The sequence below is a fragment of the Homo sapiens genome, chromosome 1 (genome assembly GCF_000001405.40).
Source record: "Homo sapiens chromosome 1, GRCh38.p14 Primary Assembly".
In the NCBI taxonomy this organism is placed as follows: domain Eukaryota; kingdom Metazoa; phylum Chordata; class Mammalia; order Primates; family Hominidae; genus Homo; species Homo sapiens.
In genome coordinates, this window is record NC_000001.11 from 235,030,693 (window position 1) to 235,049,971 (window position 19,279).

A 19,279-nucleotide genomic window follows, 5' to 3' on the forward strand; every position below is an offset into this window, starting at 1 on the left:
GAAGCTGAGGACTCTAAAAAGTAAATAGCCGGGCGCGGTGGCTCACGCCTGTAATCCCAGCACTTTGGGAGGCCAGACAGGCGGATCACCTGAGGTCAGGAGTTTGAGACCAGCCTAGCCAACATGGAAATACCCTGTCTCTTTGTAAAAATACAAAAATTAGCCAGGTATGGTGGCACACGCCCATAATCCCAGCTACTTGGGAGGCTGAGGCAGGAGAATCGCTTGAACCTGGGAGGCAGAGGTTGCGGTGAGCCAAGATAGTGCCATCGCACTCCAGCCTGGGCAACAGAGACTCCGTCTCAAAAAAATAAAAAGTAAATAACCTGCCAGGAGCTGTGGCTCACACCTGTAATCCCAGTACTTTGAGAAGCCCAGGTGGGCAGATTGCTCAAGCTCAAGAGGTCAAGACGGGGATGAAAACCCATCTCTACAAAATACAAAAACAAATAGCCGGACATGGTGGTGCATGCCTGTGGTCCAAGCTACTTGGGAGGCTGAGATGGGAGAATTGCTTGAGCCCAGGGAGGTCAAGGCTGCAGTGAGCCATGATCATGCCACTGTACTCCAGCCTGGGTGACAGAGCGACAAGACCTTGTCTCAAAAAAAAAAAAAAAAAAAAAGTAAATAGCAGCAGGCAGAAAAAATCAGAAGACAAGAATTCAGATTACTGCTGAGCTGGCAGGAAGTTGACCATTTTCCCCTCTTCAGTCCTCCTGCTGCTTGGCCCCAGCCATGGTACACTGGTAGAAGATGCATCACAGATAAGGGGAATGAAAGCCCAGATTTCTGGCAAGAGGACTAGAAAGATGAGCCCCAGCATATAAGAAAGCCCTGAACAAGTGGCTGGGCATGGTGGCTCATGCCTGTAATCTTAGCACTTTGAGAGGCCGAGGCAGGTGGATTGCCTGGGCTCAGGAGTTCGAGACCAGCCTGGGCAACATGGTGAAAGAAATCATGAAGAAGAAGGGGCTTGGCAAAGTGACACCATAAAGTTATATATAAACTCCCAAATTTAGCAAACAGTATAAATTTAGAGATAAATTCAAAGAAATTTATCTTTGAATTTCTTTGAATTTAGGATAAATTCAAAGAAATCAATGCCAAGATACATCATAAGCAAACCTCTGAAAACAAAGAAAACATCTCTAAAACAATCAGAGAAAAGTGCCACAATGCAGGGTGCGGTGGCTCACGCCTGTAATCCCCGCACTTTGGGAGGCATAGGCGGGTGGATCACGAGATCAAGAGTTCAAAGCCAGCCTGGCCAACATGGTGAAACCCCGTCTCTCCCAAAAATACAAAAATTAGCCAAGCGTGGTGGTGCAGACCTGTAATCCCAGCTACTCAGGAGGCTAAGGCAGGAGAATTACTTGAACCGGGGAGGCAGAGGTTGCAGTGAGCCGAGATCATGCCATTGTACTCCAGTCTAGGTGACAGAGCAAGACTCCGTCTCAAAAAAAAAAAAAAAAAAAAAAAGAAAAAGAAAAATGCCACAATGCCCATAGAGAAAGAAAAATTGAAATGACTATGGATTTCTCATCAGAAACTATGGAGGCCAAAAGGAAGTGGCACATTTTTTTTAATGCTGAAAAAACAGACCTGTCAACCCACAATTTTGCAGCCAGCAAAAATATTGTTCAGAAAGGAAGATGAAATAAAGACATTCTCAATGGAAGGAAAACTAACATTCACTGCCAGCAGATCTCTCTAAAAAAATTGCTAGGGCCGGGCGCAGTGGCTCCCGCCTGTAATCCCAATACTTTGGGAGGCCAAGGTGGGTGGATCACCTGAGGTCAGGAGTTCAAGACCAGCCTGACCACATGGTGAAACCCTGTCTCTACTAAAAATACAAAAATTAGCCAGACATGGTGGCATGCACCTGTAATCCCAGCTACTGGGGAGGCTGAGGCAGGAGAATCACTTGAACCCGGAAGGCAGAGTTTGCAGTGAACCGAGATCATGCCATTGTACTCCAGCCTGGGTGACAGAGCAAGACTCAGTCTCAAAAAAAAAAAAGCATTCCTAGATAAAGTTCTTCAGAAAGAAGAAAAACGGTATTTGGAAGGAAACTGGAAACATCAGAAATGAAAGAAACAGACATGGTAAATATCTAAATGAATACATTATTCTCCTGTTGAGCTTCTTAAAACATGTTGGTGACTGAAAGCAAAAATTGTAATATTTTCTAATGAGCTTTCATATATATATACACACACATATATGTAACATATAAGAGAAGTATAACAGAAAGAGGGAGAATAAAGGGACCTGTATGGTAGAGGGGAGGAGATAATAAAGATAGATGCATAAATTACTGAAACAGGTAGGGTGCAGTGGCTCACGCCTGTTATCCCAGCACTTGGGGAGTCCATGGCAGGTGGATTGCTTGAGGCCAGATGTTCGAGACCAGTCTGACCAACATGGCAAAACTCCATGTCTAATAAAAATACAAAAATTAGCCAGGCATGGTGGTGGGCTCCTGTCATCTCCTGTCATCTCAGGAAGCTGAAACATAAGAATTGCTTGAACCCAGGAAGCAGAGTTTGCAGTCAGCTGAGATCACACCACTGCCCTCCAGCATGGACAACAGAGTGAGATTCCATCTCAAAATAATAATAATAATATTAATTAATTAATTAATTAATGAAACAAAAAGCAAGCAAATAAAGAGAAAAAAGTTATTAAAATTATTTTTAACCTCTGAAGAGGGTAATTTAAAAACACCTCTAAAAAGAATAATGAAGAAAAAATATGAAAATTCACAATAAATAATAACACAAAAAGGAACTGATACCTATAAATACAGCAGAGATTAGACGGATAAGAGAGTACTTCAACAGCTTTGTGCTAATAACATTGAAAATGTATACATTCTTAGAAAAATTGGTTTTTAAAACTGATTACAAAATAAAAAGAAATATGGATTAGGCCAGTAGTCTAAATTTTCTAGTAAAGAGAACACTAGGCCAAAACAGTTTACAGGAGAATCCTAATAAACTTAAGGAACAAAGAAATATTTTTAAAAATGTACCAAGAAATAGAAAATGAGGAACAACTCAACAACTCCACGGTTATGAGGCCAGTGTGATTTTGACAACAAAACCTAAACAAGAAAAATTTGAGAATTTAAAATTCTAAGCCCATTTAATTCATGAATAAATATGCAAAAACTCCCAAGCAAATATTAGCAAACCAAATCCAACCACATATTTTTTTTTCTTGCGATAGCATATTTTTTAAAAAATAAAACAACCGGGCACGGTGGCTCACACCTGTAATCCCAGCACTTTAGGAGGCCAAAGCGGGCGGATCACCTGAGGTCAAGAGTTCGAGACCAACCTAGCCAACACGGTGAAACCCCCATCTCTACTAAAAATACAAAAATCAGTTGGGCATGGTGGCAGGCAACTGTAGTCCTAGCTACTCGAGACGCTGAGGCAGGAGAATCACTTGAACCTGAGAGGAGGAGGTTGCGATGAGCCGAGATCACGCCACTGCACTCCAACCTGGGTGACAGAGTGAGACTTTGTCTCAAAAAAAAATAAAAAATAAATAAAAGCAAAACACAACACAACAAAGTTGAGTTTATCTCAGGAATTCAAGACTGATTTTATATTTTAAAATCCACTGATATTAAATGTTAAAGGAGAAAAATCTTATTATCCTCTCCATAGATGCAGAAAAAGCATTTTATAAAATTCCACACCCATTTATGATTTTTAAAAAGTTTCCTAACTATTAACAAATCAGAAGTAAAAGGAAATTTCCTTAATCTCTCTCTCTTTTTTTTTTTTTTTTTTTTTTTTTTTGAGATGGAGTCTGGCTCTGTCGCCCAGGCTGAAATACAGTGGCACAATCTCAACTCACTGCAACCTCCACCTTCCTGGTTCAAGGGATTCTTGTACCTCAGCCTCCCGAGTAGCTGGGATTACAGACTTGTACCACCATGTCCGGCTAATTTTTGTATTTTTAGTAGAGATGGGGTTTTGCTGTGTTGGCCAGGCTGGTCTCAAACTCCTGGTCTCAAATGATCCGACTGTCTCGGCCTCCCGAAGTGCTGGGATTACAGGCATGAGCCACTGTGCCCAGCCGAAAAATTCCTTAATCTGATTAAAAAGACATCTATTTAAAACTTCTCAATTGTTTGGTTTCCCGTCTGGCATTTAAGGAGCTTGGAAGTCATCACCCCATCCTAACAACAAGTGAAAAGCTGAACAGACTGAAAAATCAACAACTCTTCTGAAGTCCATCAGAGAAGTGAGGTCACATGGCAAATCACTGTCCCCAGAGTTGAAGAGACAGATATGCAAATACAGAGAATCACAACCTACCAAACCAGAAACCCATGAGCAGAAACTTCCACAGAAACCAGTACCACAGCAGAGAAATCTAAGCTACAATCGACCGATTTCTGGGAGCTCTGTGTGGACTAGCCTAAGAGTTCAAAACTCCAAGGGGACCCAGTCATAGAGGAGGACCCACACTTTTATGACTTTGACCTCCTTGAGATTGACCAGGTTCTCACACTGAGACAGAAAAAAACCTACTCATGGCAGTGGGGAGGAAAAGGAACCATTTTAAAATATGCTGGAGCATTCTGTTCTTCTTAACAAGGCCTGCCCTCAAGGGCTCCCGGGCGTGGTGGCAGGCGCCTGTAATCCCAGCTACTCGGTAGATTACTATATTACAATTCCTTCCAGCCAGTACATCGTGTCCAGCTATCAAGAAAAAGTACAAGTCATAGTAAAAGGCAAAGAAAACACACACACACACACACACACACACACACACACACACACACACACAATTTGGAAAGGCAAAGCAAGCATCAGAACCAGATTCAGATGACAGGGACGGTGGAAATATCAGACCAGAAATTTTAAATAATTAAGATTTTTTTTTTTTTTGAGACGAGTCTGGCTCTGTCACCCAGGCTGGAGGGCAGTGGCTCAATCTGGGCTCACTGTAGGCTCCACTTCCCAAGCTCAAGTGATCCTCCCACCTCAGCCTCCCAAGTAATTGGGATGACAGGCACATACCACCACGCCCAGCTAATTTTTGTATTGTTTTGGGATTACAGGTGTGAGCCACTGCCACCAGCCCCTTTTATTTTTAACCTATATGTATCATTATATTTAAAATGGATTTCTTGTAGACAACATATAGTTGGGTCTTGTTTTTTGATCCACTCTGACAATCTCTGTCTTTTACTTGAGGTATTTAGACCATTGATGCTTAAAGTTATTATGGATATAGTTGGGTCAATATCTATGATATTTGTTGCCATTTTCTTTCCATTGCCCTTGTTCTTTATTCCTATTTTTGTTTCCTACTCATTTTCTGCCTTTTGTAGTTTTCTCTTTTTTCAAGATAGGGCCTTGCTGTGTTGCCCAGGCTGGAGTGCAGTGGCACAATCACGGCTCACTGCAGCCTCGACTTCACTGGCTCAAGCAATCCTTCTACCTCAGCCTCCCAAGTGGCTGGGACTCCAGGCATGCACCACCACACCTGGCTAATTTTTTTTTTTTTTTTTGCAGAGATAGGGTTAATTGAGCATTTTTTCCTCCTTTCTTAACATATCAGTTATAATCATTTTTTAAAGTTTTTTTTAGAGGTTGCCCTAGAATTTGCAGTGTACATTTAGAGCTAATCCAAGTCTTCTTTCAAATAACACCATGCCACTTCATGGGTAATGCTAGTGCTTTATAATAATAAAATAGGCCGGGCACGGTGGCCCAAGCCTGTAATCCCATCACTTTGGAAGGCCAAGGCTGGCAGATCTCCTGAGGTCAGGAGTTCAAGACCAGCCTGACCAACATGGTGAAACCCTGTCTCTACTAAAAATACAAAAATTAGCTGGGCATGGTGGCAGGTGCCTGTAATCCCAGCTACTCAGGAGGCTGAGGCAGTAGAATCACTTGAACCTGGGAGGTGGAGGTTGCAGTGAGCAGAGGTCTCACCACTGCACTCCAGCCTGAGTAACAGAACAAGACTCAGTCTCAAAAAAATAAAATATAATAACAAAATAATACCAATCTCTCATTCCTATCTCTTGTATTACTGTCTTCATTCATTTCATTTATTCATATGTGTTATGGACCAAATGTTTGTGTTCCCCCCAAATTCATATGTTGAAGCCCTAATCTCCAATGTGATAATATTTGGAGATTGGGCCTTTGGCAAGTAATTAGGACTAGAGGAGGTCCAGAGGGCAGAGCTCTGGTCTAATGGTATTGCTACCCTTATATGAAGAGACAACAGAGAGCTTTCTTTTGTTTTGTCTGCCATGTGAGGACAGAGTGAGGAGAGCCAGGTTGAGGGCCCTCTCCAGAACCTGAGCACACTGGCACCTTGATCTCAGACTTCCAGGCTCCAGAACTGAGAGAAAATAAATTCTATCGTTTAAACCTCTGTCTATGGTATTTTATTATGACAGCAGACAGAGCCATTATTATTTTAAACAAACTTTTAACTGTTAGATCAATTATGAATAAGAAAAATAAAAATTTTTATCTTACTTTCACTTTTTCCTTCTCCAATTCTCTTACTTTTTTGTAGATTCAACTTTCTAATCCATATCATTGTCTTTTTTTCTGAAGTATTTATCATTTCTTGCAAGGCAGGTCTACTGGCAACAAATTCGGTTAAGTTTTCCCTGTCTGAGAAAGTCTTTATGTTGGCTGGGCATGGTGGCTCACGCCTGTAATCCCAGCACTTTGGGAGGCCAAGGTCGGTGGATCAGTTGAGGCCAGGAGTTCATGACAAGCCTGGCCAACATGGAGAAACCCCATCTCTGCTAAAAATTCAAAAAATTAGCCAGGCGTGGTGGCACATGCCTGTAATCCCAGCTACTCAGGAGGCTGAGACAAGAGAATCACTTGAATCCTGGAGGCAGAGGTTGCAGTGAGCCGATATGATGCCATTGCACTCCAGGCTGAGCACCAGAGCAAGACTCCGTCTAAAAAACAAAAAAAGTCTATTTTTTTCTTCGCTTTTGAAGAATAATTTCACAGGGCAGAACATTCTGGGCTGGTGTTTAGGGTTTTTTTTTTTTCTCAACACTTTAAGTATTTCACTCCATTCTCCTCTTCCTTACATGGTTTCTGAGGAGAAAGTAAATATGATTCTTATCTTTGCTCCTCATAAAGTGTTTTTTCCCTCTGGATTCTTTTAAGATTTATTTATTTTTTATTTCCTGTAGTTTCACCTGGTTGCCCAGGCTGGTCTTGAACTCCTGAGCTCAGGTGATCTGCCTGCCTCAGCCTCCCAAAGTGCTGGGATTACAGGTGTGAGCCATGGCACCCGGCCAGTTAAATAATTATGAGTAACATGTTGAGAAATCTAATGGATAAAACAGACAACATGGAAGAACAAATAGGCAGTGTAAGCACAGAGATAGATATTCTAAGGAAAAAAATCAAAAAGAAATGCTAGAGACTAAAAATACTGTAAGAGAAATGAAGAATTCCTTCAATGGACTCAACTGGGGAGAGACTGTCTGAGCTTGAGGATCTGACAACAAAAACTTCCAAAATGAAAAATCAAAGAGAGAGAAGACTGAAAAACAGAAGATTATCCTAGAACTGTTGTACAACTACAAAAGATGTAACAGACACATAATGGGAATACCAGAAGGAGAGGAAAGAGAGCAAAAAAAAAAAACAGAAGAAACATTCTTGAGGCTGGGCATGGTGGCTCACACCTATAATCCCAGTTCTTCAGGAGGCCGAGGCGGGCGTATCTTTTGAGCTCAGGAGTTCGACGCCAGCCTGGCCAACATGGTGAAATCCCATCTCCACAAAAAATACAAAAATTAGCCAGGTGTGGTGGCACGCCCTTGTAGTCCCAGCTACTCAGGAGGCTGAGGTAGGAGGATCACTTGATCCCAGAAGGCAGAGGTTGCAGCAAGCTCAGCCACCCCACCAAACTCCAGCCTCGGCAGCTGAGGAAACCCTGTCTCAAAAAAAAAGGAAGGAGAAGAAGGAGGAGAAGAAACATTTGAAGCAGTAATTACTGAGAATATTTCCCAAATTAATGTCAGACACAAAACCACAGATCTAGGAAACTCAGAGAACACCAACCTGGATAAATACAAAAAAAAAAAAACAAACTATACTAGGTATATTGTATTGAAACTACAGGAAATCAATTAAACAAAGGGATGAAGAAAAATATACCATCCTAACACTAATCGAAAGAAAGCAGGGGTAGCTACATTAATGTCAGGCAGAGCAGATTTCAGAGCAAGGAAAGTTATCAGGGATAAAGAGAAGCATTGCATGATGATAAAGGGGTCAGTTCTCCAAGAAAACATAATAATTCTTAATGTGTATGCACCTAACAACAGCATCAAAATATACGAGACAAAGACTGACAGAACTGCAGAGAGAAATAGATAAATCTACTATTATAGTTGGAGGTTTCAACACCTCCTATCGGAAATGGACAAACTCAGCAGGCAGAAAATCATAAGGGAATAGTGGAATTCAATAACACCATCCGTCATCTGGCTGTAATTGACATCGATCAACTACTTCATTCCAGCAACAACACAATACACATTCTTCTCAGGCTCACATGGAACATTCACCAAGATAGATCCCATCCTGGGCCATAAAACACACCTTAACAATTTTTTAAAAACAAAAGTTATAAAACGTCTGCTCTCAGACTAAAATGGAATTTAACTAAAAACCAGTCATGGAAAGAAAGCTGGAAGTGTTCGAAATACTTGGAGATTAAATACTGCACTTTTACATAACACACGGCTCAAAGAAGAAATCTCAAGAGATATGGGGGTAGGGGGAGGAAGTTGGTTAAAAGATACAAAATTTCAGTTAGGCAGGAGAAATAAATTCAAGAGACCTGTTGTACAACCTAGTGACTGTAGTTAATAACAATGTATCAAATTCTTGAAAATGTGAAGTAGATTGTAAGTGTTCTCACCAAAAAAATGATAATTTTGTGAGGTCATATGTATGTTAATTAGCTCAATTTAGCCATTCTACTGTATGTATATAGTGGAATATACCTAGAAATATAATATATTGAAATATATATATAATATATATATTTCAAAATATATATTTCAAAACATCATGTTACACACAATAATACACACAATTTTATCACTTTAAAAAATTAAAATTCAATAAAATAATCTCAAGAGAAATAAAAATATTTTGAACTAAATGAAGATGAAAGTGTGAGTTATCAAATTTTGTGGGATGCAGCAAAAGCAGTGCATAGAGGAAGATTTATAGCCTTGAATACATATATTAGAAAAGAAGAAAGATCTAAAATCAATAATCTAAGCTTCCTTTTTAGAAAACTAGAAAAAATAGCAAATTAATTCTGAAGTAAACAGAAGAAAAGAAATAATACAGTCAGGCAAGATGGCTCATCCCAGCACTATGGGAGGCCGAGGAAGGTGGATCACTTGAGGTCAGGAGTTCGAGACCAGCCTGGCCAACATGGCAAAATCCTGTCTCCACTAAAACTACAAAAAAATTAGCTGGGCTTGGTAGCGTGTGCCTACAGTCCCAGCTACTCAGGAGGCTGAGACAGGAGAATTGCTTGAACCCAGGAAGTGGAGGTTGCAGTGAGCCGAGATCTCACCACTGCAGCCCAGCCTGGGTGACAGAGTGAGACTCTGTCTCGAAAAAAAAAAAAAAAAAATCAAAATGAATCATAGGCCTACATGTAAAGTGCACAAATGCACAACTATAAAATTCCTAGAAGATAACGTAGGAGAAAACGTAGATGACCTTGGATTTGGTGATGACTTTTTAGATGCAACACTAAAGCCCCAGATGTGCCAGGCCTGGTGGCTCACGCCTGTAATCCCAGCACTTTAGGAGGCTGAGGCAGACGGATCACCTGAGGTCGGGAGTTCGAGACCAGCATGGTCAACATGGAGAAACCCCATCTCTACTAAAATTACAAAATTAGCTGGGCATGGTGGCACATGCCTGTAGTCCCAGCTATTTGGGAGGCTGAGGCAGGAGAATCACTTGAACCCAGGAGGGGGAGGTTGCAGCGAGCCGAGATTGCACCACTGCACTCCAGCCTGGGTGACAGAGCCAGACTCTGTCTCAATAAATAAATAAATAAATAAATAAATAAATAAATAAATAAAGGCCAAGATGCAACACTAAAGAGCCAACAAATCCTACCAAAGTTTTAACCCGTTCTACCAAGAAACACATACTATTCCAGAGTATACATAGAGAAGAAGCAGTCTCCAACCCCTTTTATGAAACTATCATAGTCTTGATTGTGAAACCCAACAATAATATTATAAGAAAGGGAAGTTATAAGCTTCATCAGTGACCATACCAACAGAAATAATACATGGAAGTAGGATAATTTAAGTCAGGCACAGTGGCTTGCACCTGTAATCTCAGTTACTCAGGAGGCCAAGGCAGGAGGATTACTGGGGCCAGGAGTTTGAGACCAGCCTGGTCAACATAGTGAGATCCCTGTCTCTAAAAAAACAACATAAAAAATTGTAATGAAATAGGATAATTTGGAGAAGATTTATTTACAATGTGTGGTTGAAGGGGAACAACAAGAGATCTTGTTCTTGAGATAGGAACCAGGGAAGAGGAAGCTTACCAGACCTCAGAAGAAGAGAGAGTGGTTAGAGCCAGCAACTCATGTCTCAAAAAATATAACCAGCCTGAAATGAACACAGTATCCTCCCTTCCTCCAGTCTCCTGCCAGGGTTCCCCACTGGCCTGATCCAGCTGTCAACCAGAGGGTACAGGACCTCAGTGAAGAAATTCACATGGGCCAGCCCTGCTGGGCAGTGGGCAAGGTGGAGTAAGAGGAGCAAGCACATCTGGAAGGGCAAGGGAAGATCTCCAAATTGCAGGCCAAACTTGCTCATAAATTTAGACTGAAAATTCTTTTTTAAAAATTATCAAGTTAAATCTAGCAGTGTATAAAAAAGCTAATATGGAATAACCAAGACAGGTTACATTTTAAAATGCAAGTTTGCTTTAACTTTTGTTCTGTTTTTTTTTTTTTTTTTTTTTTTTTTTTTTTCAGATGGAGTTTCACTCTTGTTGCCCAGGCTGGAGTGGAGTGGCACAATCTCAGCTCACTGAAACCTCCACCTCCCGGGTTCAAGCAATTCTCCTGCGTTACCCTCCCAAGTAGCTAGAATTACAGGTGCCTGCCACCATGCCTGGCTAATTTTTTTAATAGTTTTAGTAGAGACAGGGTTTCACCATGTTGGCCAGGCTGGTTTTGAACTCCTGACCTCAAATGATCCACCAGCCTCAGCCTCCCAAAGTGCTAGGAATTCAGGCGTGAGCCACCACAGCCAGCCTGCTTTAACTTTAAAAAAACAAATTAACTAAAAAAACAAATTTTTCTCCTTTAAAAAATTAAAGAAGAAAGAAATCTTGGTTATCCCTATAGATGTAGGAAAGATGTTTCCTAGGATTCAATATCCATTCATGATTAGAAAAAAAAAAATTAGTAAACTAGGAATAGAAAAATATTTTCCTTAACCTGATAAAGGAGATCTACAAAATAATAATAATAATAATAAGCCTATAGCAAACATCAGAAACTGAAATGTTGAAGGCTTTCCCTCTGAGCCTTCAACAAGATGAGGATGCCTGATAACCCCACTCCTTTCAACATTATGCTAAAGGTCTCACAGGATGTCAGACAATGGAATAAGGCAAGAAGAAGAAATAACAGGAGGTTTAGGAAGAGACAACCCGTTAATATTACAGGTGACATAAGTCTACAAAGGAATTCCCCTAAATAATATACATATATTATTAACTTATTAGAGTTAATAAGAGTATAACAAGATTTCTGAACACAAAATCAGGATACAAGTCAGTTGTGGCTGGGTGTGGTGGCTCACGCCTGTAATCCCAGCACTTTGAGAAAGGAAGAAACCAGCTTGTATACCAGGTGCCACAGACTGCGAGGCTTAATCTACACATTTCTGGAGGCTGGGATTCTGAGACCAAGGTGACTGCAGGGATGCCTCCTTCCGAGGACTTTCTCATTGGCTTGCAGATGGCCGCCTCCGTTCTGAGTCTTCACTTGATCTTCCCTCTGCGTGTGGCTGTTCTAATCTGGTCTTCTGAGATAGACACCAGTCATGTTGAATTAGGGTGTACCCTCATGGACTCATTTTAATTTCATTCCCTCTTTAAGATCCTATCTCCAAATACACATTCTGAGGTGCTAGGCGTTAGGGCCTCAACTTATGAATTCCGGGGGCAGGAGGACAATACAGCTCCTGACACCTGGGAGACCGTGGTATGAACTCAGCTGCCCTGGTCCAGGCTGGGGCTGGATTCCAGGAGAGGAGGTGGGTGTGGTCATTTTTTCCCACTCACTGAGGTCTTGGTCTTCCATGGGCTTCTTTCTTTTGACTGTCCTCCAGCCGCCAGGTTGTTTCCCACACCAGGCCTGAGTTAGGGACCGGACTCTCCATGGCCATGAGCATCCTTCTTTGCTTCTCTACACCCACCATTCCTGCAGAGGCCCCTCCTTTCTAGGAAGAGGGAACCTCTCCAGGTGCTGCCAATAGCTACAATGAGATTAGATGTGAATACAAGGGCCAACCTAGGGGAAAGGGGATACGATAGGGCATTGGAGAGGAGACTGGGAAGGAAAGTCCCGGGCTGGCTATGCATGGGCATGTGACCCCCAGTGCTTTATTTTTAGTGCCAACTTATAATATAACACCTTCTCCTCCTTACTTCCCACATCTCACACCATGCAGCCACCACCACAGCAGACAGCACAGTGCAATCGGAAGAGCACACACAGACTTGGGGCACACAGACCTGGTTTGACTCATGTCTCTGCCATTTACTAACTGTGTGGTGTTGGCCAGGTTGCCAATTCTTTGGGGGACTTGTTTTCATTATATATGTAGAAGGGGACAGTAGTATCTACATTATGGTATCACTGGGAGGATTACTTGAAATCATGCATGTAAAGTGCCTGGGGGCCAGGCACAGTGGCTCACACCTGTAATCCCAACACTTTGGGAGGCCGAGGCAAGCAGATCACCTGAGGTCAGGAGTTCGAGACCACCCTGGCCAACATGGTGAAACCCCATCTCTGCTAAAAATACAAAATTAGCCAGGCATGGTGGTGCACACCCGTAATCCCAGCTACTCTGAGGCAGGAGAATCACTTGAACCCGGGAGACAGAGGCTGCAGTGAGCTGAGATAGCGCCATTGCACTCCACCCTGGGCAAAAAGAGTGAAACTCGGTTTCAAAAAAAAAAAGTGCCTGGGACCTGTTGTTAGGGGTTAAACTATGCTCCCCGCTCCAAAAAATTCATACGTTGAAGTCCTTACCCCCAGTACTTAACAATGTGAGTATATTTGGAAACAGGGTCTTTAAAAGGGTAGTTTTAAGATTTAGTGAGTAGTTAAGATTTAGTGAGGTCATTACTGTGGGTCCTAATACAATTTGACTGACATAAGAAAAGGAAATTATGACACAGACAGCCAGTCGCAGTGTCTCACGCCTGTAATCCCAGCACTTTGGGAAGCCAAGGCAGGCAAATCACGAGGTCAGTAGTTCGAGACCACCCTGGCCAACATGGCGAAACCCCGTCTCTACTAAAAATACAAAAATTAGCTGGGCGTGGTGGCGGGCACCTGTAATCCCAGCTACTCAGGAGGCTGAGGCAGGAGAATCGCTTGAACCCAGGAGACGGAGGTTGCAGTGAGCAGAGATCACACCACTGCACTCCAGCCTGGGAGACAGAGCGAGACTCTGTCTCAAAAAAAAAAAAAAAAAAAAAGACACAGACACACACAGGGGACAACCACATGAGGACACAGGGAGAACAGGACCATCCGCAAGCCAAGGAGAGAGGCTGCAGGGGGAGCTGATCCTGCTGACACCTTGATCTTGGACTTCCAGTCCCCAGGAATAGGAGAGACTCAGTTTCTGTTATTTAAGCCCCCTAGTCTGTGGTACTTTGTTACAGCAACCCTTGCAGGGAACAGTCTTCAGGCTGATAATCCTAGAGAAAGCTTGGCCCCCAAGGCTGTCCCAAATCTTCCCCAGTTCCCCCCAGGACTATCCATGTAAGAGAGACTTAGGCTCACTCATCTGAGCCAGTGACATTATGGACCCAAGAATCAAAAATAAGATGAGTTGGGAGTGAGTACGAGAAGACACAAATTTTCTTTCAAGTCATTGGTGCGGGTTTGGGAGTGGCAAAACGGGGGATGGAACTGTTTTAGTAAAGAAAAAAATAATCAAGCCATGCTGGTAGATCCCTAAACAATCTCGGCCTGTGATGACTTTGTCATTTTGAATGATATCTTTACTGATATTTGTCAGTTTCTTCTATGAACTGCAGTTTTCACAGGTAACCCTGTGAACAAATGGGTTTCCTGTGAACCAGCACGCCCACATCTTTAGAATGTAGCCAGGTCTTCTGATTTTTCATTCCCTATTTTGGCAGTCAACAGACAGGCCACTTGTCTTCGCTGCTAAGGTGGAAGAAGTAGATAAAAGGATTTATTATCTGAACATTCCGGAACCTTCCAAACAAATCTGTTTTTTATCCCCCTCTAAAAGCTGGGCCACATTTTGCAAGATGAGAAGTACATTTTCTTTCTAAACCAGCTTGTCCATCTCTGCTTGGTTTACACAAGCATTGACTCCTTATTGAATGACGATCTACTAACCCACAGAGTAGGAGATTGCTATATCAGCACAGCAGTTGCACGCTGAAAATCCAGAGGATGAAGTGAGTTTGCATCATTCATCACTAGCATTCCGTGGTCACGTTGCAGCATCTCCATCACCAGCCACCCACTGGCAGGTCCTTGGGCTGTGTGAGAAGGGGACGAGATCAGCGTCCAGGGTAGAGCCCAGAGGGAACCACAGGCAGCCCCTCTGCTCACAAGAGGGGCCCATGCTCCCCACAAATGAGGCACCCCGTGGCTGGGGCACCAGGCTCATCAGGCAGATTTCAGCCCTCACAGTTTGCACAGCCTTAGAGCCCACACAGCCCTGGACAGCATCAACCACTATGAACTCCACAGCAAAGGTAGCAGAGTGTTCAAAGTGATGCTTTGGGTTCCAAGCTACTTTCAATGGGACGGGAAATAGTCTAGAACCTGATCCACAACCTGTGAGCCTTCTCACCATCCCCACCAAAAAATATAAAGAGTGGGCCAGTTGAGAGACATGATTTTGAAGAGAAGATTGCCTGAGGGGTGTCTCTGTGGAGAAAGCTGTGCTTCCTGAAGGGAAGTGGGGGCCTCCCCTCACCTCAAATTCGTGGGTTTCCACAAAGCTTCTCAGAGAGCTCACCCTGGGATTCCCTCTCACTGATGGCAGAGAAGGCCAGAGCCCTTACCATCCAGGAAATCCAGACGGTGGGTGTCAGGCTGCAGGAGGCTGATGAAAGCCCCAACCGTGTCAGGCCTAACCCCTGGAGCCTATAAATGTGGCCTTATTTGGAAAGAGGGTCTTTGCCAATGTGATTAAATGAAGGATCTCTGGATGGGGAGATTATCCGGGATTAGCCCTAAATGAGATTACATGAACCCTAAATGCAGTTAGCCATTTCCCTACAAGAGAGGGGTAAAGGGAGGTTTGCCCAATGCAGAGGAGACGGTGATGTGACGCAGAGGTGGGGACTGAGTGATGCGGCCACAGGCCAAAGGTTGTCGGCAGACACCACGAGCCGGAATCAGCAAGCTGGGGATTCTCTCGACAGCCGCGGAAGGAGCAGGGCTGTGCCCACACCTTGATTTCAGCCCCCTGATCGTGGTTTTAGACTTCCGTCCTCCAGGACTGTGAAAGAATAAATTTCTGTGTTAAGCATCGTAATTTGTCGTAATTTGTTAGAGAACCACAGGGAACTAATGTACAGGATGACTACTGCCTGCTTTTTAAATTATTTTATTTATTTATTTATTTATTTATGAGACAGAGTTTCACTCTTGTTGCCCATGCTGGAGTGCAATGGCACAATCTCGGCTCACTGCAACCTCTGCCTCCTGGGTTCAGGCAATTCTCCTGCCTCAGCCTCCTGGGTTCGAGCAATTCTCCTGCCTCAGCCTCCCAAGTAGTTGGGATTACAGGCATGTGCCACCACACCCAGCTAATATTGTATTTTAGTAGAGATGGAGTTTCACCATGTTGATCACGCTGGTCTCGAAATCCTGACCTTAGGTGATCCACAAGCCTCAGCCTCCCAAAGTGCTGGGATTTTGGGCATGAGCCACCACACCTGGTCCTGCCTGGTTTTTTTAAATAAATTTTTGTGTGTGTGGACTGGGCACAGTGGCTCAAGGCTGTAATCTCAGCACTTTGGGAGGCAGAGGCAGGCTGATCACTTGAGGTCAGGAGTTCAAGACCAGCCTGGCCAACATGGCAAAACCCCATCTCCACTAAAAGTACAAAAATTAGCTGGGCATGGTGGCGTATGCCTGTAATCCCAGCTACTCAGGAGGCTGAGGTAAGAGGATTGCTTGAACCCAGGAGGTGGAGGTTGCAGTGAGCTGAGATCGCACCGCTGTACTCCAGCCTGGGCAACAGAGTGAGACTCCGTCTCAAAAATAATAATATTTATTTTTGTAATGACATGGGGTCTCACTATGTTGCTGATCTTGAACTCTCGGCCTCAAGTGATCCTCCCTCCTCAGCTTCCCGAAGTGCTGGGTTTACAGGAGTGAGCCACCATGTCTGGCCCTGCCTGCTTTGATGCCAGAACCAGGAGCATGCAGTGGGTTGGGGTTGGCCTCCCTCCCAGAGCTTGCGGGGGCAAGCCACACAAGAGGGTCAGAACCAGCTGAAGCCACACAGAGAGGTAACCAGCATGAGGTCTGCTAGGGGCCTGACCTATAAGACCACCTGGAGGGGCAGAAACCCTAGCAGCAAAAAGCTCGAGGTAAACCCAAGGGACCAAAGCAAAGAGTCTCAAATGATCACCAATAAGAGACTCCAGGAAGTGCAGACCCACATGGGAGCCCCGGCAGGAGAGAGGGCAGCTTTCAACCACAGCCAGACCCAAAGGATGCACAGCAAGCTGCCCATGCACCTACTCGGGTGAGAGCTGTCCTGGGCCCTAAAACCCCTCACCCAGCTCCAACCTTGGGAGAAGGGGCACAAGGAGCCACAGGAAAGGACAGAAGCCAGCCTCATCCCTTTCCCATGCAGACTTCCAGCCCTAAGCAGCCTCAGCTGGAGCAAGAAGAATGGTTTGAAGTTTTGACTAATATCTTGGCCTGGACATTGAAATTCCAAATGGAGACTGGTTTTTTTTGTTTGTTTTGTTTTGTTTTGTTTTGTTTCCATTTAAAGCAACCATCAGACAGACTATTTCCTAAGAGGAGCAGAAAAGTCCAAGCCTGCCAGGGTCTGGGAACATGAATCCGGCTGAATAAACTTCAGAGGGGCAGCACAGGACAAAAGCTAAAGTCGCCTTCCAATTGCATTGCAAGCTGTGCTCGTTCCACACACCGGTTGCACACAGGCTGGTGAAAACATCTTCAGTGGAACTGAGAGGAGCCAAGTTCCCGTGAAAGGAAAACATGCAAATCTGTTTTCAGTATCACTTTTAAGCTTCCTGAGTGGAGTCTTTGGCCTGGAATGACTCGCATTGACGTCAGCCCGAGGCAGCCATATCGCAGCAGCTGCCATCCCTTCCTCACCCGCGGCCTCCGGGGCAGAAGACACACTGGTTTTGTTTCATGGGAGATTAAAAACAGTTGCTGCTGTATCCATAATTCACAACCCCTGTGATCACCGGGGCCAGGAATACTGAGCAAAAAGCACAAGGCGTCCACATTAAAACCAAGGGCAGCCGGGCGCAGTGGCTCACCCCTGTAATCCCAGCACTTTGGGAGGCCAAGGCGGGCGGATCGCCTGAAGTCAGGAGTTCAAGACTGGCCTGGTCAACATGACGAAAACCCTGCCTCTACTAAAAATACAAAAAAATTAGCTGGGCGTGGTGGCTCATGTCTTTAGTCCCAGCTACTTGGGAGGCTGAAACACAAGAATCGCTTGAACCCAGGAAGCGGAGGTTGCAGTGAGCCGACATCATGCCATTGCACTCTGGCTTAGGTGACAGAGTGAGACTCTGTCTCCAAAAAAAAAAAAAAAAAAAAAAAAACACCAGGCCTGGTGCGGTGGCTCATGCCTGTAATCCCAGCATTTTGGGAGGCCGAGGCAGGCAGATCACCTGAGATCAGGAGTTCAAGACCAGCTTGGCCAACATGGCAAAACCTATCTCTACTAAAAGTACAAAAATTAGCTGGGCGTGGTGGTGGTGGGTGCCTATAATTCCAGCTACTCAGGAGGCTGAGGCAGGAGAATCGCTTGAACCCAGGAGGCGGAGGTTGCAGTGAGCCAAGATCGCGCCACTACACTCCAGCCTGGGCGACAAGAGCGAGACTCTGTCTGAAAAAAAAAAAAAAACAAGGGGAGACCCATAAAAAAGATGCCAGAGATGGGGATCATGGTCAGCTGGGACCCCGCCCAGGGCACTACACGCTTGCTGGTTCTCCTGAGCCTCAAGGCGATGGGATCTACACCACACATCTGAGGCTCTGATAAACTGCTGGAAACATGGGCTTATGCATGATGCTGCTTTGTTTTACGGCACTCTGTGAGGGAGACAGGGCAGGTACCCCACAGCCCGGAATGGACTCCTCTTGCCTCTGGTCTCCTACCAGAGCAGCAGTCCCCCAGGAGGAGAAAACAAGCTCCTTCCCAGGGCTGCACTGGGGCTGGTGGCAATGGTGGCAGTGTCGATGGTCATGTGGCCTGCCTTGCACTGGTGGCCAGGACCCTGACTCTACTTTGAATCTTCTGGTTCCTTCCAGCATCCAGGACAAGGCCCTGGCAGTAAAGCCCAGCTCCACACGGCTCCTGCAGCATGGAGCTGGTTCTCCTCCAAAAGTCCTGAGAGATGTATCATTTATCAAGCTGGTAGATAATTCTGCCCCTTTCTGTAGTGCCTCTCAGACATATCCCATAGGTAATTGTTGCTTGAAGCCTCTATTAAAATGTGAGGCGACAGAAGCCAGTAGACTGTGTATCCCTTTCCTTCGTTTACTCTCAGGTTAAAATGGTCTTTCTGACTAAGCCAGTGATTGGGGCATAAGGGAAGGAATGTGAGTGTGGGGAAAGGGAGGTGGGGGAGAGGGCTGGTGTGCACTGCTGCACTCCCTGTGGTTTTGAGATCCTTCAAATAGAAGCTGTGAATATGTGGCTGGGTGCAGCGGCTCATGCCTGTAATCCCAGCGCTTT

General features: G+C 44.4%; 2 annotated features.

Annotated features, from left to right (window-relative positions):
- Window positions 16,687-16,736: an enhancer, noted in NCBI's record as "active region_2788". NCBI's record gives its function as "activates an Ori minimal core promoter by ATAC-STARR-seq in GM12878 lymphoblastoid cells {active_cell/tissue: GM12878}" and the evidence as "EXISTENCE:reporter gene assay evidence [ECO:0000049][PMID:35858748]".
- Window positions 17,450-17,744: an enhancer, noted in NCBI's record as "tiled region #5019; HepG2 Activating non-DNase unmatched - State 7:EnhWF, and K562 Activating DNase matched - State 8:EnhW". NCBI's record gives its function as "activates a minimal TATA promoter and a strong SV40 promoter by Sharpr-MPRA in HepG2 and K562 cells {active_cell/tissue: HepG2 | K562}" and the evidence as "EXISTENCE:reporter gene assay evidence [ECO:0000049][PMID:27701403]".